This window comes from Homo sapiens, chromosome 4, assembly GCF_000001405.40.
Source record: "Homo sapiens chromosome 4, GRCh38.p14 Primary Assembly".
Classification (NCBI taxonomy): domain Eukaryota; kingdom Metazoa; phylum Chordata; class Mammalia; order Primates; family Hominidae; genus Homo; species Homo sapiens.
Genome location: NC_000004.12, coordinates 89,234,567 through 89,256,294, shown reverse-complemented (window position 1 = coordinate 89,256,294; position 21,728 = coordinate 89,234,567). Strand labels below are relative to the sequence as shown.

At 38.5% G+C, this 21,728-nt stretch overlaps 1 protein-coding gene across 10 annotated transcripts in view; it reads left to right on the top strand.

Annotated features, from left to right (window-relative positions):
* The window catches only part of GPRIN3 (GPRIN family member 3), a 71,418-nt gene extending 51,506 nt beyond the window's left edge, over positions 1-19,912 (top strand). For 8 of the 10 annotated variants that reach the window (NM_198281.3, XM_017008044.2, XM_047450091.1 and 5 more), the window contains one exon: positions 6,062-19,912. In NM_198281.3, coding sequence (NP_938022.2) covers positions 6,185-8,515 — 2,331 coding nt within the window. In that variant the 5' untranslated portion in view covers positions 6,062-6,184 and the 3' untranslated portion in view covers positions 8,516-19,912. Of the gene's footprint in view, positions 1-3,286; positions 3,865-4,350; positions 5,589-6,061 lie in introns of those variants that run through there. The other 2 variants (XM_047450093.1, XM_047450092.1) reach the window with 2 other exon arrangements.
* The last annotated feature ends 1,816 nt before the right edge of the window (positions 19,913-21,728 follow it).

Here is a 21,728-nt window from a genome sequence, read left to right as displayed (position 1 = left end):
GCCCCTGGATTGCAAATCACTTGCAAATAGAAGGTTCCCTCTCCTCTAGGGAGATATATATAGATATATAGATATCTATAAAAATTTTAAAATTTTTTCTTTCTTTCCATTTTCTTCTCATGGTTACAGTTAATAAGGAAGCAGCATAGGAAGGGTCCAGGCATTCGCATCCATTAGAATTCAGTTCAACAGGAATTACAGGTATTCCATCTTGAGTGGGTTACTTAGCCTCTGGGCCTCAGTTTCCCTCCCTGTAAAAGGTGGATAATGTTTACCCTGAAGTCTTGCTGTATTACCAGAACAAGGCTTTAAGTCTCTGCTCACGATTTTAAGGATAGGTGCCAAAAGAGTCTGCTGTCAAGGATACGGTTCCCATTAAACTTAAAGATAAACTCAGAGGTACCATTAGCTTCTGTGTGATTTCTGCTCAATTCAGGAAGAATTTATAATGTTACAGAGAGTCTTTTAAGAAAACCTTTATTTGCTGAGCCCTCTTCTCAACCAGGTCTTGACCTTAGGCATCTGTGTTCATCTTTTGCAGAGTCCAGTTTTAGCAAGAACCTTGCTAAGCCAGCTTAGAGAGAATTCACCATCCCTGACATCTGATCGCTTTGGTCAACCATGCTTTCAGCAAGAATTTGTTAAGTGGTTTAGCAAAAATCCCCCTTCGCTTGATGTCTCCTCTTAGTAATTTTACATCCACTGACACACCTGCCCCCCACCACAACCCTCTCCTTGGCTAAATATCTCTACTTGTTCTTGTTGTATTTGAATTTGAGCCCCATCTCTCTACTCTATTGCAATATTCTTGATACCCATCACAAAAGTCCTGAATAAAGTCTTCTTACCATTTTAACAAGTGTCAGAATAACTTTTACTTTAACACAGATAAAAGCTTAAATACCAAGGTTTCTAAAAGAGGCTAACACTTTTATGGTGCTTAATATGTGCCAAGTTGCTGTTTGTTCTAAAGGCCAAATCTATTCCTCATGACAACCCAATGAGGCTGTACTATTATTATCCTCAGTTTATAGATTAAACTGGGGCCCTGAGAGGTTGAGTTACTTGCCCAAGCACACAGAGCTAAAGCTAGGTGGTGGAACTGATATTCTAATCCAAGGAGTCTGCCCCAGAGTCCATGTTCTTAAACACAATGTCAGACTGCCCTCAGAGGCCTGCAAATTAGAGTGGGAAGTCTACTGTCAGTACTCTTAGAGCAAGGTCTTCAAACCCAGCTGCACACACAACCCCAGGTAAGTAATGTTAACAAGTGTAGCAGGACTCCTGGTCACTTGGAGAGTCCACGCCCGTCAAGGGGGACAGTTCTTCTCAGCGCCACCTAGTGGTTGCCATGTGGAAATGCAAACCTTAACAATAAATAGAGGCAAGGGAGAATTCTGGATTTTTATGAAAGATCTCTTCAATTCAAAAGAAAAAGAAGGAAAAGAAAGGGAAGGAAAAAGGGAAAGAGTTCCATCATTGTGGAAAACATTGTGGAGATTCCTCAAAGACCTAAAAACAGAACTACCATTCAACCCAGCAATTCCATTATGGTGTATATTCCAAAGGATTATAAATCGTTCTGTCGTAAAGACACATGCATGTGTATGTTCATTGCAGCACTATTCACGATAGCAAAGACATGGAATCAACCTAAATGCCCAGCAATGATAAACTGGATAAAGAAAATGTGATACGCATACACCATGGAATACTATGCAGCCATAAAAAAAGAATGAGATCATGTCTTTTGCAGAAACATGGATAGAGCTGGAGGCCATTATCCTTAGCAAACTAATGCAGCAACAGAAAATCAAATACTTCACTTTTAAGTGGGAGCTAAATGATGAGAACCCATGGACACATACAGGAGAACAACAGACACTAGGGCCTATCAGAGGGTGGAGAGTGGGAGGAGGGAGAGGATCAGAAAAAAACTAACTAATGGGTACTAGGCTTAATAACTGGGTGATGAAATAATCTGTTCAGCAAACCCCTGTTACATGAGTTTACCCATGTAACAAACCTACACATTTACCTCTGAACTTAAAAAAAAGGTTTAAAAAAAGAGAAAGAAGGAAAAAGAAAGGGAAGGGGAAGAGGAAAGGAAGGAGGAAGAGAAAACCATGCAGGACACACACTCCACACACACACACACACACACACCCAGATGCAACACACCCTTCTGTAGAAGGGACTCATTAAGTCTGGGGGCCACCTGTTTGCACCTCATTTTTAGTGCAAGTTATTAAATCTTACCATAATGGACTCTGGTTGATGATAAAGACACATACTCCCCATTCTAAACCAACAAGTAGTTATACTTTTTAAATGTTCGATTTGCCTGACCCACTGGAGCCCATAGATTTCTGCCAGTCAGTGAGGGAGGGAAGGAGTGTTGGTTCAGAACTTCGGCGAGTCTCTTCTGGGCTCAGGGAGATGCTGTGACAATTCCATTAGCAGACAGATTGGAGAGTAGTATTGATTTGTTATCTATGCATAAATACAGAGATTTCAAGTGCTAGGTCTTAGCCAAGCAATTTGGGCTTTTCTTCTTGAACTTCAATTGATGGACAATTAAACCTCTATTAGCAAAGCAAATGAAATAAAACGCACTTTCAAAGTTAAACTAAAAGTTAGCTATGTGTTGGAAATGGAAGTAAACACAGTGGACTTCTGAGAGTTTTGTGAAGTCATCTTCATCTAAGTCTTTTAACTTTCAGTTGCTGAACTTTGAGCTGTTCATGTTTTATAGTCCTCTTTGGCGAATTAACTTCCTTGGCACCAGCCTTACAACACAGGAGATATTCTGTGTTCCTGGCTTTATGAGACCTTCCAACTTTTCGTAGCAGGTGTTCAGCGTTCTTGGTTTTAGTTATCTAAACCTGGGTTACAGACACATAAAGTTTAATAAGTAAGATAACACCATTTTCTCACTTCCAAAAGCACTCTTTTACATTATGTTTTTCTTAACATTTCATGCCATGGATCAAATTTTCCTGTACGTTTGACATTTGGCAGAGCTGTAATAATGGCCATTTTGGAGGGTAACAGGATCAATTAACAACTTTTTATGCACAAGACCCTGCACTGTGTCCTCTGGAGTCAACAGAAATGAATCAATAGGCTTCTTTCTTTTCCTTCCGGGGCTTGCAGTGTTTTTGGAAAAATGAGGCATTTATATAAGTAACAATGGTGCGAAAACAGTGCATGAAAAGAACAATACAAAGGACACAGACGACCAACCAACCTGTAGGAGTTGTTTTTTTTTTTTTTTTCTTTTTTGAGAAAAGAGAGACTTCATAACTTGAAGGCTTTAGAGGACTTCAGAAAAAAAATGGGATTTAAGTGGGGCCTTGAAGAATAGGTAGGCTTTTTGAGGATGAGGAGGGCAGACAGTGGGAGGAAAAGTATAATAAACACAAATGCAAAACAGAGTGAAAGACTGGCTGGGGCAGAGCAAGTGATTTTGCAACAGAATACTGGGGTAAGGAAGAAATAGAATAGAAACCTACAGAAATGGTTTGAGCAGAAAGCAGTTAAGACCAGGGATGGGAAAATATTCAACCTATTCATATAAAGAATGAAGTTAGAAGGAAGAGCTTGTTTAGAGGAGAAAATGCATTCTATTTATTGTTAGATCTTATGTGATAGTAGATCACCTGGATTACATTGAGCTAAAGGATAAAATTATGTATTTTCAAAATCTAGGTCCAACCGGATTTGATTTTGCCTTATTTTGACACTTTGTAGCCTGAGTGAAGATCATACAGTTTGATGTATTATTCATCATGTGCAAAGAAGTGGAATCCTTGAATTTTGGAGCTGGAAAGATCCTCAGAAATCATTTAATTCATTTTGCCAGTGAGTTAATTTGGGGTTCAGAAAGATTGAGTGATTAGCCTGAAGTAACATGGCTTATTAATGATAAATATTAAAACACAGTCATCCACTAATTTCTGATCCATTGCTTTGTCCACATGACCTAGTGTCTAGTTATTCTTTCTAAAAAAATGCTTATAGGCCAGGTTCATGGGCTTCTACCTATAATCCTAGCACTTTCAGAGGTTGAGGCAGGAGGATCACTTGAGTCCAGGAGTTCAAGACTACCCTGGGCAACATGGAGAGACTCTGTCTCTACAAAAAAATTAAAAATTAGCTGAGCATGGTGGCATTCACCTGTAGTCCCAGCTACTTGGGAGGCCGAGGTGGGAAGATAGCTTGAGCCTGGGAGGTCGAGGCTGCAGTGAGCCATGACTGCATCCCTGAACTCCAGCCTAGGTGACAGAGCAAGACCCTGTCTCAAAAAAAAAAAAAGCTTATATATAAACACACACATATAATTTTACATAATGATATGCCCTAAATCATTTCTGATTTTTAAAATTCAGCATTTTCCACCTTTGGGTACTTTCATCTCCCCTCTCTGTCCCCAACTTATCACTCTCCCTCTATTTAACACCTAATATGTCTCATTCCAAATGTTTTTAGAATTTATGTAATCATACACAGACATATCTGTGTGTGTGCCTGTTTGTATGCATACATATGCAGTGTTTTAGGTCATTGTTTTACAAAAATGAAAATGTATATGCTGTTTTCTGGACCTTGTTTTTCTCATTCAATCATACCTTGAGGAAATCTCTTCCATGTGAAAAGTTATAGCTGAATTATTTACTTTACTGGTTGCATAATACTCTGTAGTAGAATTACATCATGACTTTTCCTATCATTCTGCCTATTTATAAAGACCAGTCTGTTTTTCTTCTACAAATAGTACTTCAGGAAACATCCCCATATTCATATATGTTGGTGTTTCTATTTCTGTTGATAGAGTTGGTATCATTGAGTCAAGGAAATGTGTATTTATAGTTTTAAAAATTAAACTGCCTCCATAAGAAAGCTGTAACAATACATATTTATTTGCACCTACAATTAATAAAAACACTTCCTTTTGCTAGGTCTCCCTAGACCTTACTATTAAAAGTCTATTTTTTTTAAGATTTTGCAGATGCAACTGGTGTGAAGTCAAATTGCATTGTTACTTTATTTGCATTATTTGACTACAAATGAATTTGATCATCTTTTCATAAGCTTGATGGTTACTTAAATTTCGTATCTTGTAAACTATGTTTTTATATTTGTTATCCATTTTTTCAATGGATTATTTGATCTCCTCATAAATGTTAAAGAGCTCCTGCTATATTATAGGTATTTTTGCCTGCCCTCTAGGGTTATACACTTTTTATTTCCCCCAAAATCTTGTATTTTTTATAGCATCTTTTGTCATGCCATAAAATTCAGGTTTTGAATTTTATTTAGTCACCTATGTTTGTTTTCTCTTACAGTGTTTCTACCATCTCAGAAAAAGCCTAGCTCACCTGTCTCTAGATTACATTTATGATTCGTAGGTTTTCTTATATGATTTTATTTATTTATTTTATATTTTAACCTTTAATCCACTGCATCCATCTAGGATTTATTTTTGGAATTGGTATAATATAAACATCTACTTTTCTTTTCTTCCAGATGCATGAACAGTTTGCCAACTCCTTCTATGAAATAACTCAGCCTTTCACCACCAAATTGTAATACTTCTTTTGTCATAGATTAAGTCCCCATTTATATTTGGATCTATCCCTAGATTTCTTATTTCACATATCTGTTTATGCCTACTTCAATACTTACTTATTGATTTAATTAGAGTGGCTTTACAGGATTTTCTGACATCTGCTAAGTCAGATTACACCAATAACTTTTGAGGTAGTTAGCAAACTTAGGTAGATACATGAAAAACCTATTTGCTAGACATTAGTGGGATGCAAGCAGAAACTAATATATCAAAATAATATTTTCGTAATTATAATTTTTTTCAAAATCTTTTTCTCAAGTCTATTTTTATTTATTTATTTTTCTTCTCCCTCCCCACAAGGTCTATTTTTATATCAACAGGTATGGGAAGAAAAGTTTTTAATGTGCTCTTATAAAAACGACAGTTTGGTTTATTTTTCAATCCTTAAGCGACGTACTGTATTAATGATGCTGTTTCCTTGATTCACAGGCTGGTTCTTCAGAGGAATCATCCCTGACTGTGTCATCACTCTGAGCTCTGACTGCGCTCCCCTCCCCCACCAGTGGGACCAGTACTCAAGAGAGCTCTGGAGTGCTCCTGAAGAGAAATTCCATGGGGACTGTACCTGACCCTCTGAGATCAGCTAAAACTTCCCTGATTGCAGCTTCCGGAAAAGAAGACGATCTAGGAGAGCCACAGGCTGCCTCACCTCGGCATCGACCAGCTCTCCTGTGTAAGAATGCCAATGGCTTTTCAGGTGCCCCTGCAGAACCAGACCTCAGCCCCAGGGCAGCTGCCGAAGCCCTGATGCAGGTTTGTGAGCATGAGACCACCCAACCAGATATGTCTTCTCCTGGTGTGTTCAATGAAGTGCAGAAAGCACCTGCCACATTCAACTCTCCCGGCAATCCCCAGCTGCCAGGGAGCAGCCAGCCCGCAGCATCAGCCCCGAGTTCTGCAGCAGGAAGGGATCTTATACACACACCATTGACAATGCCCGCCAATCAGCACACCTGCCAGTCCATCCCAGGTGATCAGCCCAATGCCATCACCTCATCCATGCCTGAAGATTCCCTGATGAGATCACAGAGAACCTCAAATAGAGAGCAACCTGAGAAACCAAGTTGTCCTGTGGGAGGCGTCCTCAGTAGCAGCAAAGATCAGGTGTCCTGTGAGTTTCCTTCTCCAGAAACAATCCAGGGAACAGTGCAGACTCCAGTGACAGCAGCCAGGGTGGTCAGTCACTCATCCTCTCCTGTAGGTGGACCTGAAGGGGAAAGGCAGGGAGCCATCTGTGACTCTGAAATGAGGTCCTGTAAACCTCTAACTAGAGAATCTGGATGTTCAGAGAACAAGCAGCCCTCTGTCACTGCCTCGGGCCCCCAAGGCACAACTTCTGTGACACCTCAACCAACCCCCCTCACTAGCGAACCTTCGGCATGTCCCCCAGGTCCAGAGAAGGTGCCGCTGCCAGCACAGCGTCAGATGTCAAGGTTCAAAGAAGCCAGTACGATGACCAACCAAGCTGAAAGTGAAATCAAGGAAGTTCCCAGCAGGGCTTGGCAAGATGCGGAGGTGCAGGCAGTGGCGAGTGTCGAGAGCAGATCCGTCTCCACCAGCCCCAGTATCCTCACTGCATTTCTGAAGGAAAGCCGTGCTCCTGAGCATTTTGAACAAGAGCAGCTGCGTGTCATTTGCCACAGCAGTGGGAGCCACACACTGGAGCTCTCTGACAGCACGCTAGCCCCCCAGGAGTCCAGCCAGTGCCCTGGCATCATGCCACAGGTGCACATTCAGGCAGCTGCAGCTGAGTCTACAGCTTTCCAACGGGAAAATAAACTTGCGAGCCTACCAGGTGGGGTCCTTAAAACCTCATCAATCAATTTGGTCTCCAGTAATGCCCAGCATACGTGTAAAGAAGATGGGAGGTTAGCAGGAATGACTCCAGTGAGGGAAGAGTCAACTGCTAAAAAGCTCGCAGGTACTAATTCTAGCTCCCTGAAAGCTACCGCCATTGACCAGATTTCTATCAGTGCATGCAGTCAAGCTGAAACAAGTTATGGATTGGGGAAATTTGAAACCAGGCCATCTGAGTTTGCAGAGAAAACGACAAACGGCCACAAAACAGACCCAGATTGCAAACTATCTGACTCTTGTGGCTCTATCAGCAAAGCTGATCATTCTGGGAGCTTGGATCCCACTAATAAAGGAGATGCAAGGGAAAAGAAGCCTGCATCTCCTCAGGTAGTAAAAGAAAAAGAGTCTACTGGCACTGATACCTCGGATGCCAAAACCCTACTGCTCAATCCTAAATCCCAAGAAAGTGGAGGCACAGAATCAGCTGCTAATCCTACACCCTCCCCAATTAGGAAGAACCAGGAGAGCACCTTAGAAGAAAACAGACAGACCAAGACAGCCACCAGCCTGAGCCTGCCATCTGATCCCATGGGTGACTCCAGCCCAGGTTCTGGCAAGAAGACCCCATCTCGCTCCGTCAAAGCCAGCCCACGCAGGCCCAGCCGCGTCAGCGAGTTCCTCAAGGAGCAAAAGTTAAATGTGACAGCAGCTGCTGCTCAGGTAGGACTCACTCCAGGAGATAAGAAAAAGCAGCTTGGCGCAGACTCCAAGCTCCAGCTGAAACAGTCCAAGCGTGTCAGGGACGTCGTGTGGGATGAGCAGGGAATGACCTGGGAAGTGTATGGTGCATCCTTGGACGCAGAGTCCCTGGGAATCGCGATCCAGAACCATTTGCAAAGACAAATCAGGGAACATGAGAAATTAATCAAAACTCAAAATAGCCAGACCCGGAGATCCATTTCCTCAGATACTTCTTCAAATAAGAAGCTCAGAGGAAGGCAGCACAGTGTTTTCCAGTCCATGCTGCAGAACTTCCGACGCCCCAACTGCTGCGTCCGTCCTGCCCCGTCTTCTGTGTTAGATTGAAAGGGAGTATTTATGGGAGTTTGTGTATAAATTTACGGTATTCACATGCGTCCCTCTATGTCAAAGCTTGCTTAGTTTTTTGCTGCAAGACTAGGAAGAAAAAGCAAGTATTCACTATAGGAAATTGCTATTAAAAATTGTTAGATCCTTTGACCTGGAGCTCTATAAACAAAAATGTCATTTCAATTTGAAAGAAGGAACAAGAAAAGAGAAACAAGCTTCACTGAAGGTTTGCAACCTTAACAAATTGAAAATAATACTCACTGGGTTTTTAAAAATATGATGTTGTTCATAGAAATAGCATTATTGTATCATTATACATGTATTATTTTGTATAACTGCCTCAATTTATCACACAGTAGTAGTTCCATTAAAATCCCTGCTTCATATTGAAAGTAGCAAAAACACTATTGGCGAAAACATTGTTATAATTTCTAGTCTTATTGCAGTAAGAATGCTGTAACCACACAAATTATAAATAGGTGATAAGAACCATAATGAAAAAAATGAGAACATATTTGATTCATTCCTAGGCCAGATAACATTAAATAAAAACAGTTAAATGTGTAAAATATGAAATATGAATTAATGTTTATAAACATCTGCAGACAACTCTTTTTATAAACCTTCTTATTGCTGTTAATAAATATAAGAAAGTTATATTAGGAACATTAGCTAAGCTTTTGACTATGAAAACTGCCTACATTAAACATGGATTTATATAGACCCATTTTCCTGCACTGAAGGCAAGGCGCATCTCTGTGATTCTGACCAGACATATTCATATTTTCTTACCCTAGAGGAAGTACATGGGACTGAATTCTTGAAAAGAGCCATCAAATTAGGGATAATACTAAATTGATACTGTGCAGGTGTTCTCCAGTGATATTCTACTGAGAATGCTAAGGTTCTGGTCAGGAACTATAAATAGCAGATTACCAAACACTGCTTTTTCTGTGATGATAAAAGCCTCATAAGTAACAAAAACAATGTTTAATTTAGACTCCTGTAAACAGGATGCAATTAGTGATTTTTTTTAATTGGGTTCAGTAACTTCCAGTAACAAATGTAGTCAACACCAAATTAGAATGTGAGCTTCCTTACAATTTTTGTACATAGACTACTATCATCTAATTGCTTAAATATATATGCTGGAGTAAAAAGGTAACTTCTGCAAACTTATTGATTTTAAGAGAAATACCCATAATATCCTTCAAACCCAATGAAAGAAGAGGCCTTTACGAAAACATGGCTTGTGATTTGGGTGGATTATACTTCCTGGGACCTTGGCCCTCCCGTGTCTCCAGAAGAGACGTGTGTCCCGAGACACATGAGTATCCTCCAAGGCACTGGCCTGGATGAGCAGCATCGCCTTGAGAATTGGGGTAGTGTGGAAAGGAAGAATGAACAACGGCCCTGGGAAGCCTTCCCTTCCTGCAGATATTGTTGGGGGAGTGCTGGTCTCCATTTTGCGTTTAGAAAACCAGACTTAGATGCTGGAGGGGCACCGGTTGTCTTCTTTGAACTCATTCCCCGTAATGAGCTAGAAAAGAGTACCTAACCATAGGTATTCTCTCTAGAGACTCATGTGTCCCGTGGGTACAGTCAATTCACAGTATCTGTTCTGGCTTTTTTCACTTTAATTCTGTTCTGCACATTCTGAACATATGCAGGAAAAAAAATCATTCCTGAACTTAGCACAAGCTACACTCGACACAACCTAAATTAGTAAAAAGCCTTTGATTTATTTTGAAGCAATTTAACTGTAGACAAAGCTTGCATATATGGAACAGTATTCTCAGAGCCTGAGAGTTGTTACAGTTGTTCTATTTGGAAATTAGAAGGAATTTTTTAATAAGGCACATTTTTCAGTTTCTTACCCATTGGTGTCTATTAAGAATACTATGTAATGTTGAAATTTCCATCAAATTACCAAGCAAATTACTATTAATGATTAGAGATTTAGCCTAACACTCTCTCTTTGGGCCTTAAATACCCATTTGTAGTTGTGTTCGTGTCACTTCTGTCTCAGATGCCTCTGCCAGGACATAATCTCTCTAACTCTTGCTAGCTGGCTTCTCCCTCCCACATGGGCATACATGCTGTGTATACACAGAGTACAGCCTGTGTACACAGTAGCAGCTGTCAACAGGGCCTACTCCAGATGGGTGGCCCCAGGTAATCCTCTGCTGTAAAGTGGCTAGAACAGGCTGTCCCTGCATTAAAATAGGTGAGAATAAGGAATTTCGCCTCTGATAATAATATTTATTTTCATGACTTTAGAGTAACCACATGATTTGTAAACAGTTAAATGAAGCAGAGGCCTGAGAGAGTTGTTGGCATTTGTCTCACATTAAATACATTAAAATTGCTAGATTTGCTATTGTGGTTATGTCTATCAAAACTTTAAGAAAATTTGTTTAATGTACTGAGTTTAACTGATTTTCTTTGGTGCTGGGACCAAATTCTTCACTTCTACAACACTCAAGAGATTGTCACAAAATATTACAAAAATATTGTTTGTTTTGTGGCTCATTAAACCCTATATAACTAACAGCTTTTAAGGACATTAACAGAAATATATCTTCAGATGGATAAATAAGATAGGGACCTATTCAAGACAGCAGCATTTTTGTATTGTGATACCTCCCCTAAGTTACTCTCACAATAAAACCTTATTTGAGAATTTTCCTTCACTTCAATCTGTGACATAGCATTAGGCATTTAGTATACCTTATTTGTGAAACCTAAGGTTCATTCAACAGATGAAGCTGCAAAACAGTTTTCTTGGTAGACTCTTGGAACTTGCTCAGTTTTTTCCTTACTTTACCTGCATGACACACATTGGGTTGAAAGTTGTTTGGTTTTACCCTTCATTTCTCTTAGATATGATTTGGTTCTTTTTCATGCATTATATTTTTGAAATATATGGAGGAAATATTTTATTGAATCAAGAAATAGAAAATATTCCTTAAACCAGTAGTAAAAAGGTGAGTTAGAACTCCATGTCTGGAAGACAATTCAACATTTAAAATATTAAGATGCTATACCACTTAACAAGTGAATACTAAAATTTTTAATTTAAAGATTGATTGTTCTGTTTTTATGACCATGAGAAAAATGTGACAGCTTCAGCTGTCATATGTTTATCTTGAATGCTTTTCTAATTATGTATTTCTGGATTATTGACTTTGAATGCCACAGACCAACTACTTTACATAGAGTAAAATATTGATTAACCTTTGTGCTTTGGGTCACTGGCAAAAGTTGAACATCCTGATAAGTCAATGTTAACCAGAAACCTTTTTGTTCACGTCTGAAATTGAATATTTATAAAATGTGTTAGTATGTTTCCTGCCTTGATAAGTTCACCTATATTGAATGTAATTTGATCTTTGATAATTTTTTTTAATCTTGAGAATTCTCTGATACTGTTTTGAATACCAGTGTTCACCATGTTATAAAGTTAAACATAAAAATTGAAATAAATTGAACTAAATATGCATGTGTAACATATACCTTAGAGGTTGGATTTCAGAACCAAATTCATAATAGGAGCTTGCTGTCTTAAAGTAGAAAGCAGAAGAGGAAAATAGCATTTGTTTGTATTCTAGCATATTGAGGTTTCACTGTTCCTAGCTTATACTAATGTTTTTCCTCTCATTTCTGGGAATGCCTGTCATTCTGAGAATCCCTATATATAGCATACCAAGAACAGAGTATGATGTTACTTTAAAATGTGTTTACAGAGGATATATGCAAGTGTGCTGTTAATATAAATTGTTTGTCCTTTTCTGCATCCACTTTGTTACTGTTTTGCTGCCAAAATGTGTGAAATGTGTGTCTTCTCTTCCTCCTACATATTGTGCCAAGTGTTTAAAATTTTGTCTACTCCTAGTAACACATAATTAACCACATCCCTTGTCTACTTTTATGAATCAGTATAAAGAAAAACAATACATTAGGATAAGGTTTGCATATATGTATATGTGTTTTTATTGAAAACTGGGCACTTGTAGCCTTGTGTAGACCTCTACCTGCCTGATTTACTAATTATCTGTAATGCTGCCATGGAGATGATGCTGTTTACTCTCTCCTGCTTTGTTCTAAGTGGTGTTTGAGAAGTGAGGCCTGTGAATTTCCCTTTGTGGTAGAACAGTGAACTCAGCAGTATCTTGCATAAGTGAGCCGACTACCTTATTCCCACTCTGTTTTTGTGTACATGGTGAAATCAGAAGTCAAACATCCCCTTTAGTGTTTGTTATTTTACATATGTATCTGAGCATTTTGTTTTCTGTTAGCAATGCTTCCTGATGTTGTGCGTGGCCCTTTTTGGTTGATTCTCTCCAAATTCGGGTCAGCTGCTGCCACCTGGCAAATAACAGAGGATATGCTGAATCTCCTGTCCATCCTTGTAACGATATCCTTCTTAATGAAATTCTTCAACTGGCTGAGCAATTACAAATGTCATCTGTCCAGACACATGGGCTTAAGGATGTCTACAAAATTTTAGACATTTTTGCAAATGGGAAAAAAAATAGTCTTGTAAATACTGAAACAGATTTCCATGAACTTTATCCTACTCTTGGAAAGAAAACAATTCTCCTTGGCTGCAGAAATCAAATAAGCTGGGTTTGCAATGACCAAGGACATAAATGAAGATGGATTGAAGTGGAAAAATTCTGTCTCCCAAGTGATCAGTGACATCTGCCAGAGGTCATTACAGCTACTTTTAACTGTGAACAGTCACCAGCTAAACTACTCACTTGCCACAACAAAATAACCTCTCTCAAAATAAATCCAGTGCATCTGTATATATGTGTAGATAGCAGCAACAAACAATCCTGAAACATTATTTTTGGCTGTTAGGTAAGTAAACGTGATGATAATTATAAACAACATTCAAATAACCTTGGACCTTGGTGAAATGACTTGTGGTGGCCAGAATGGTGCAACAAGATGTTATTTGCAAGTTTTTTTAAGACACAAATATCTCAGATACTAATAATGAGAATAAAGACTGTTGAATATGAAATTAAAGCCAAGCAATAATGTGCCAAAAAGAGGCAGTTATACCAGCAAATGCATCTATTATGGGCACACCATTATATAATGATGGTTTGCTTTATGAAGACTGACTGTAACCCACAGGATAAAATAAGCAAAGGCATAGTTTCTGCTTTCTTCCTGGAAAAACTTGTTTAGAAGCTTCATAAAGAGGTACAGCACTAATGAGCATTAGTCAGGATACAGTTGGCATCTATGTTTTTATGTGAGCCCAGAGGGAAGAGGAGCCACTCAAAGTCTTGCTGGCTTAAAACTCAAGACAGCTGCAACCAGAAGTTTTGTTGAAATGGAGACTTTAAACTTATGGTAATTACTCTTTCTGGACACTAGCATGTAGAAAGCAATTCAGTTAACTCTGCCCAGAGGATTACCAGCTTTAGCTGTGAAAAAATGGGCTCCCGGATGTAAAATCACTAAAACATGAGATCTTGTATCCAAAGAGGCTTCAAATGATGCCTTACAGAAAACGATGCTCCAGATGGGCACTTCTAAATGCTAACTCTTCATCAAGTATCTTTCTGGATTCAAGCTCAAAATTAATTGGCTGCAAAATAGTAGGAATAAAAATCACATATTTTACACTTTAGAAAAGGATATTGATGATCAACCTGCATGGTGATAATTATGATGAGATACCCCAGTGATTTAATGATGTTAGAAAGAATTAAATGGGAGAGAATTGCTAACAGCTTTCTTGATCTCTTAACTATGGAGATGTCATTCATTTATTTCTGGGGTGAAAATTATAGCTTGCTTTTTGACATTGCTGCTAGTATTGTTCTTTGTTGCTTTAAAAATTGTCTCTCTTTAGAAAAACTCTTGAGCAGTTAAACAGTTTTTTTTCTGATTCATATCATTGCTTTTAATAACATGTAAAGGCTGTGTGTAGAGCAAACTATATAAAATGAGTAGAAAGGGCTTACTCATGTTAATTGGCATCCTTGATGATTTTAGTTGAGATTCCTTAACATTTATTTTAGATCACATCTTTACGTAACTTATTTTTCCTAATGTTTTCCATCGTGTCTTAAAATGATGCTGGTATATCAGGAGATTGCAGTATTATAGTCATACTCCCCAATCCCTAGAGGAGAGGAAAGACTAATTCTTGTTTTAAGGGCCCCTGGAGATACCTTTTATTAAGGTTGAAAAAGGTCAACACAGCCTGAAAATAAGAAAAATATATACTAGCAATTACTAATTTTCTAAATGTGTGTATCTCTGCTGTACTAATGTGTGAACAATATGTCGTGCATAATACTGTAGCTGGTCGTGGTATGTCAATACATTCTGTGAGTGTGTACAGTCTGAGTGATCAGTTTTCTATTTTTATGTGTAAAAAAAATAACTTGTCGTATCCCATTTAAAGGCCAATTTCTGTATTCAGGCAGGCATATGTACATACATGAATAAAGCCAACAAAAGTGTGCACATGTATTCAGTAACAGAATTTGTCCTTTTATTTTTGAAGGTCAGAAAGGGCTGTTTGATTTGTGTTTTTTTTTTATCATCTCCTTGAGTAGGTAACATAATTATCACAAAGGCTGAATATAGTAATCAGTACATTGGCATATTATTAAATATGCCAGGGCTAAGTAACCATGCCATTAGTCACAGGTAAGGTCAGTTCTTTGACCACTGGGATAATTTACATTCCTCACACATCCTCTCCGTGTTAAGTGTGTGACTAGGATGTACATACTATGGGTGTGATTGTGTACATACCTTGTATGAATTATCTAAATCCTCAAAGCAGTTGCAGGAAAGAAGGAAGATGAAACAGTTGTTCAAAAGCCTCAAAAGGGCTAATCAATATATATTTTTCATTTTCTACACATAAAAATGTAAATAGCTTATCCACATATATAGGCACACATAATACATTTTATTTATACTAGTATATTCAGATAAATCACAAATTAAAACCACTAATTGAAAGTTGCATATTTCCATGACTGCTCTGTTTTACAAATATTATTATTGAATGAGATGCCCCCCCAATTAATGGTGTTACTCCCTGGTAGCAGATTTTGTGCTTAGAAAACTCCAGCAACTGAAGCACAGACTGGTAACTGAGTAGCTACAGGGAATTAATGCTTCTCTTTAAGCACCTAATTTCATATCTGGAAATGGCAAACAGGGATGAAAATCGATTATGTTTTGGAGACTCCTTTTGGACATGTATCAGTGTGTTGATTTGCACAAACCAATAAAAGCCCTACATTTTTTGGAAATGGATCCCTAGATTTCAAGCATGTATAATCACTCAAAGTGGATATGATCACAGGCATTCTTCTCTTGAGCTCAGCAAAACTATGCCTACCAACACCGAAGAGAAGTCAAAGATTTAAATGAAAAAAAATTGCAGATGATGTTGGTGAGATAATAGGATATGAGCAATGAACCCTTGGGTGGGGTTCCAGGGCACTTAAATTGCCTCGTGTCTTGAGTTCCTTAAGATGGACTCAAACAAAAAATTAGTATTATCAATAACAGGTAATACTGTGTGGATTCTAACAACATTAGAATCATTAGCTGGCAAGTGTCAACTCTGAACAAGATTTGTCAGCTTATCATAATTCCAACCAGTTAATTGATATTGTTCGAATTTATCTCATTTTTTCTCAAAGGAAGTGCTCTATTAGGGATCAAAAAGTCTCACCTGGTTCTTAAAACCTAACACAATTTGACCTTGAATCCTCGACACTAAAAATTACGTTGGTTGGGTATCAGATTGAAAATATGCATGGAGGCTGGGCGTGGTGGCTCACACCTGCAATCCCAGCACTTTGGGAGGCCAAGGCAGGCAGATCACCTGAGGTCAGGAGTTCAAGACCAGCCTGGCCAACATGGCAAAACCCCGTCTCTACTAAAAATACAAAAACTAGCCGGGCATGGTGGTGTGTGCCTGTAATCCCAGCTACTCGGGAGGCTGAGGTGGGAGAATCACTTGAACCTGGGAAGCAGAGGTTGCAGTGAGCCAAGTTCGCGCCATTGCACTCCAGCCTGGGAGACAGGGCAAGGCTCTGTCTCAAAAAAAAGAAAATATAAATGGAAATACCAGAATCACCCCTTGATAGAGAATTCCATTTGGCAAAGTACAAACAACCACTTCTCAGTAGAAAGTTAAGAATAACATTTAAAAACATATTCATGTTTTAGAGAACGAATGTGCCATCGTTGTATATTAAATAAAAATAAAAGATTAACCAGCTATAAGAACACTACAATTACAACTAGAGTGGCAGTGTTTTTTAACTAATAAAAGTATACATGTTTATAAGTGCAGCATACCTGAAATCTTGATGTTTGTCAATACTTATGGTTGCTTCAAAGATAAATTTATGTGATTATTTTTGAAAGATGTGTATTAATTTGAATAATACCCAGAAAAATTATAACTTAAAAATTGCAGTTTTCAATATGAGAATCATTTATGTGTGTAAATACTCAACTAAGAAAGATCAAAAGTGTGGTATAATATTACAAGAAAAAATATTCAAAATGGAAAGTCCATTTATGAATGTATTAATATTAAAATCCAAAGTTATGTTTTTTTATAATGTCTACATTATAATGTTTACAAAGGCCATAAAATCATTTCAGAAAGTTCTCATCCTCCAGATATTGACCAATAAAACTTCATTTCCTAGAAAAAAGAAGAAATGTTATAATTTATACAAAGATGAAGTAAGATTTTGGAATTACGTATACTTACACCTTCATTTTGGATTTGATTTTTGAATGGATGCTTAAAATTCTGATATTCAACTAATGACTTAGTTTTACCATCAAAAAATTTAGATTATGATTTTTTTGCATCTCACTTTTCATAATAAATGTAATATAGATACAATTTATTCTGTTTTTTGTTGATGTTATTATTGTTTCCACTGCTATTGAAATCGTTCTTTTAACCATGAATGTGCAGAATCAGTTGATTTTCCATGTGACAGCTTCTGCTAGGAATCTGCAGTGGAACTGGAAGTATTTGCAATGAAAGAACTTTTTTCTTTAATTAAAATAGAATTCCCATAGAATCAACAATTCCTCCTGGTCATCAAACGCGAGGTTTTTCCTGTACTTGGTAGAGCAGAGTGTGTGTGTGTTTGTGCGTTGTGTGTGTGTTGTTTGGTGAGAATGATGAGAGCTGAGCATTGTGAAAATACAGGCGGGGGTGGGGTAACAGAGCTGGGTAGGGGTCCAGGGCGCTTAGATTGCCTTATTGTCCAGGCTTAGATGCCTCTTACCCAGAGCCATCAGGTGTACCCTATATAGCTCCAGCCTTTCTGCCTACTCCTGAGAAGATAAACTGGGATCCTGCAGTCTGGATTCCTAGAAGGAGATGGAAAGCCCAGCCATATCCCCAGTTTGACTTGACCAGTAGTAAAACTAGCACTACAGTTTGATCCCTTTTTACCTCCTTGAATATCTTCAATTCATCAAGGATCTGTAAAGAAGGAGAGGTACAAGATATATGAAACCCAAATCTCAAAACAATGATTTAGTGAATTTCCCATGAACTTTAAACAGTGATTGCTTCAAAATTTCCAAGAGCCATACTCTCCCTCCAGCTGCTGTGTGTGTGTGTGTGTATAAATGCACACTATTTTAACCTAAAATGGTGCCCTGTGGCTGCCATTCTCTAACTCTTGCATACTTAAACATTTATTCTTGGTCAAATTAAAACCTCATGCATTTCCAAAGATATAAATGCCTTGCCTGGAGAAGTTAGATCTTGCAAGTCTCAGGAGGGCCGAGATGGTTTGTCTTATGCCTATAGCTGTTTATGTCCCACCAGTGGGTGTTTGTTTCATTAGGTGCCGTTTCCAGCCAAATGTTCTCATTCTTCACATCTTCAATGTTGAGTAGCAAACAGAAGAACATCCTTCTTAGCATAATATTGCTTCACTGGACTGATTGTGAACTCAAAATACCTCTTGTTTCTTGTGAAGGGTTTGCCTTTTGTAAACAATATAAGATCACTTTTGGTCAACCACCCTGTCTGAATTTATCTGGGCTGCTATAATAAAGTATCATAAACTGGGAGGCTTGTAAATAAATTTATTTCTTACAGTTTTGGAAGCTGGGAACCCCAAAATCAAGGCCAATTTGGTGTCTGGTGAGGGCCTACTTGCCGGCTCACGTGTGGTGCCTGTTTGCTGTGTCCTCACACAGTAAAAGGGATGAAGTGTCCCCTCCCGGGCCACTTTCAAAAGGGCACTAATCTCACTCATGAGGGCTCTGTGACCACCATCTAATCACCACCCAAAGCCCCCACTTTCTAACACCATCGCCTTAGGAGTTCAGACTTCAACATGAGTTTTGGAGGGATACAGACATTTAGACCATGGCATACACATTCTTAATGAACTTCTGAATGCCACCATTATTAAATTTTCTTCAACACCATTCTACACAACCACTGAGCTAATTGACAGAGTTCTAAAATGTTTAGACCCTTGTAACTACCTTAGCAATGTTCTGAAGCTGGTTTTTCTAAATATATCACAGAGGTCTAACATAGTTGAAATTCAAATTGTCTGGATGGAAGCTGAAAGTGCTTGCAGAGATTTCTGGTGGGAGTACTGGCATCTCAAGAATGGTATTTCCCTACACCTTTTTTAGTCCCGCTTGACGTCTCTCAATCAAACTGCAAAAGAGCCTTGACCTGCCATTAAAAATAATAATAAGCAGAATGTCATTGCCAAAGATTATTATAGGTGTTTAAAAGCAAGATAAGACTTCTTAAAGGGCTCCAAAGCATTTGCTTGTTATCTATGTTTTTTTAGCCCAAAGCCAAAACAAAAAATAATGCCTTTGTGCCAGACGTTTTGCTGGGCACTTCCATCTATGTCTCAACCTTAGGAGGTATAATGTATACATGCACAGTTTTACAATTTGTCAATGGCACAGATACTTGAGACATATAAATTGGATGATCACAGAGATATTGTGGTAAATATCTGGGCTTGGAATCAAAGGACCCTGGGTTCAAATCTCAGCTTCGAATCAAAGAAGCTAAATTCTTTGGCTGAGTAAACCAAAACACCTCCCACCAGACCCCACCTCCAAATTTCAACATGAAATTTGGAGAGGATAAATATCCAAATTATTTCAGTGCATTCATCTGGAAACTGAGAATAACAATGCTCACTTTGCAAATTTGTGGGAATTAAATGGCATAGGCAAAATATTGTTCTTTTCTTCTCTTACTCCTCTGAGTTTTGCTTTCTTCCACTTGAACTTTACCACTCAATTGTTAAAAGCCTTGAATTTTGCCATTGTATTCTATTTAATAAACTTTTGATAAATCTGGATAAATAATAAGAATTTTGTTTTGTTTTGTTTTGTTTTGTTTTCCCTCAGTGTCTCGCTCTGTCGCCCACGCTGGAGTGTGCAGTGGTGCGATCTCAGCTCACTGCAAGCTCCTTCTCCCGGATTCACGCCATTCTCCTGCCTCAGCCTCCTGAGTAGCTGGGACTACAGGCACCCACCACCACGTCCGGCTAATTTTTTGTATTTTTGGTAGAGATGGTGTTTCACTGTGTTAGGCAGGATGGTCTTGATCTCGTGACCTCATGATCCACCCACCTCAGCCTCCCAAAGTGCTGAGATTACAGGCATGAGCCACCACGCCTGGCCTAAGAATGGTTTTAATGTATGACTGTGAGATACATAAAATGTGACTTTAAAAGTATTTTTATTTTTTGTTTAAAGCATGAGGGAAACACATTCCAACATGTAAAATTGTCAGACCTTTAAGAATTAAGAAAAGATTTTAATTAAGTTTAACTGGGTCACATTAAATGCGATTTCTAAAATATAAAGTTAAGTACTAATAAAATATTACTAATTCAAAAAGGGAGGAAAGGGGAAACAAAATTGGTAAATTTACCTACATTAACACTTAAAACTTTGATAAAAAGTCTTCATAGACTAATTGAAAGAGAAGTCATGTACTGGAATCTAGCAAATAGAACACCTACAAATTAGTTTTAAAAGATGAGCAATAAAATAGATTACTCAAACTATATAAGCAAGCATCATAAACATATGAAAATATGCTAAACTTCACTAACAAATCTCTAATCCCCACAGTTTAATGTTGCTGGGGGAAACCTTCCAGATTCATGGGAGTTGAATTAAGAGCTTTATGTACAAGAGTTAGAAGAGGGTCCTTCGCCTGTATTAAGAGATCTTCCAGTTGGAGATACCTGGTGATGGGGGAGTGCGTGTATTAAGTCTGTTTTCATACTGCTATAAAGAACTACCCGAGACTGAGTAACTTGTAAAGAAAAAGGCTTAATTGATTAACAGTTCAGCATGGCTGGGGAGGGCTCAGGAAACTTACAATCATGGCAGAAGCCAAAGGGGAAGCAAGGCACCTTCTTCACAAGGCAGCAGGAAGGAGAATTGCTGAGCGAAGGGGGAAGAGCCCCTCATAAAACCATTAGATCTTGTGACAACTCACTCATTATCACAAGAACAGCATGGGGAAACCAACCCCATGATTCGATTACCTCCACCTGCTCTCTCCCTTGACATGGGGTTATGGAGATTACAATTCAAGATGAGATTTGGGTGGGGACACAAAGCTTAACCATCAGTGTCTGAGTGAGGCTGTAGAGGGAAGATTCTCCAAAGAGAACCTGGAAGCCCATGAGAGGAGTTCAATGTAAACACCTGCCACAGGCAGAGTGCAGCACTCAGGAAAGTGTGACCTTTCCAGACCCTCTTTCTTCCTCTTCCTCCCTGGTCTTCAACCAGATTATTTGGCAGAAATGGAATCTCTAGGGATGGAAAGAGAAAAGAATCAAAATCACAACCCTCTTCCCAATGTAGCTCTATAGGGCTTGTAAGGAGGGAACCCTGAGTTATAAACAAGAATTACAGTATTACTTACATGATTATTACATGAGACTTGGCATTTTAAATTTGAATTGAGACTATATTTGCAATTTTGAATGACCTGTGGCTGAATCAAGAAGTGTACCCAAAACTGAAATAGATGTTGTCACTAATGATGACCTTACCGTGATTATGAGATCTACTTAGCCCCTAAAGGCATCTACATTTGTGGCTCCTGATCGTCTAGAGGCCCCAAAATTACTGTAGGTTTTAGAGGTCAACAACAATATCAGAC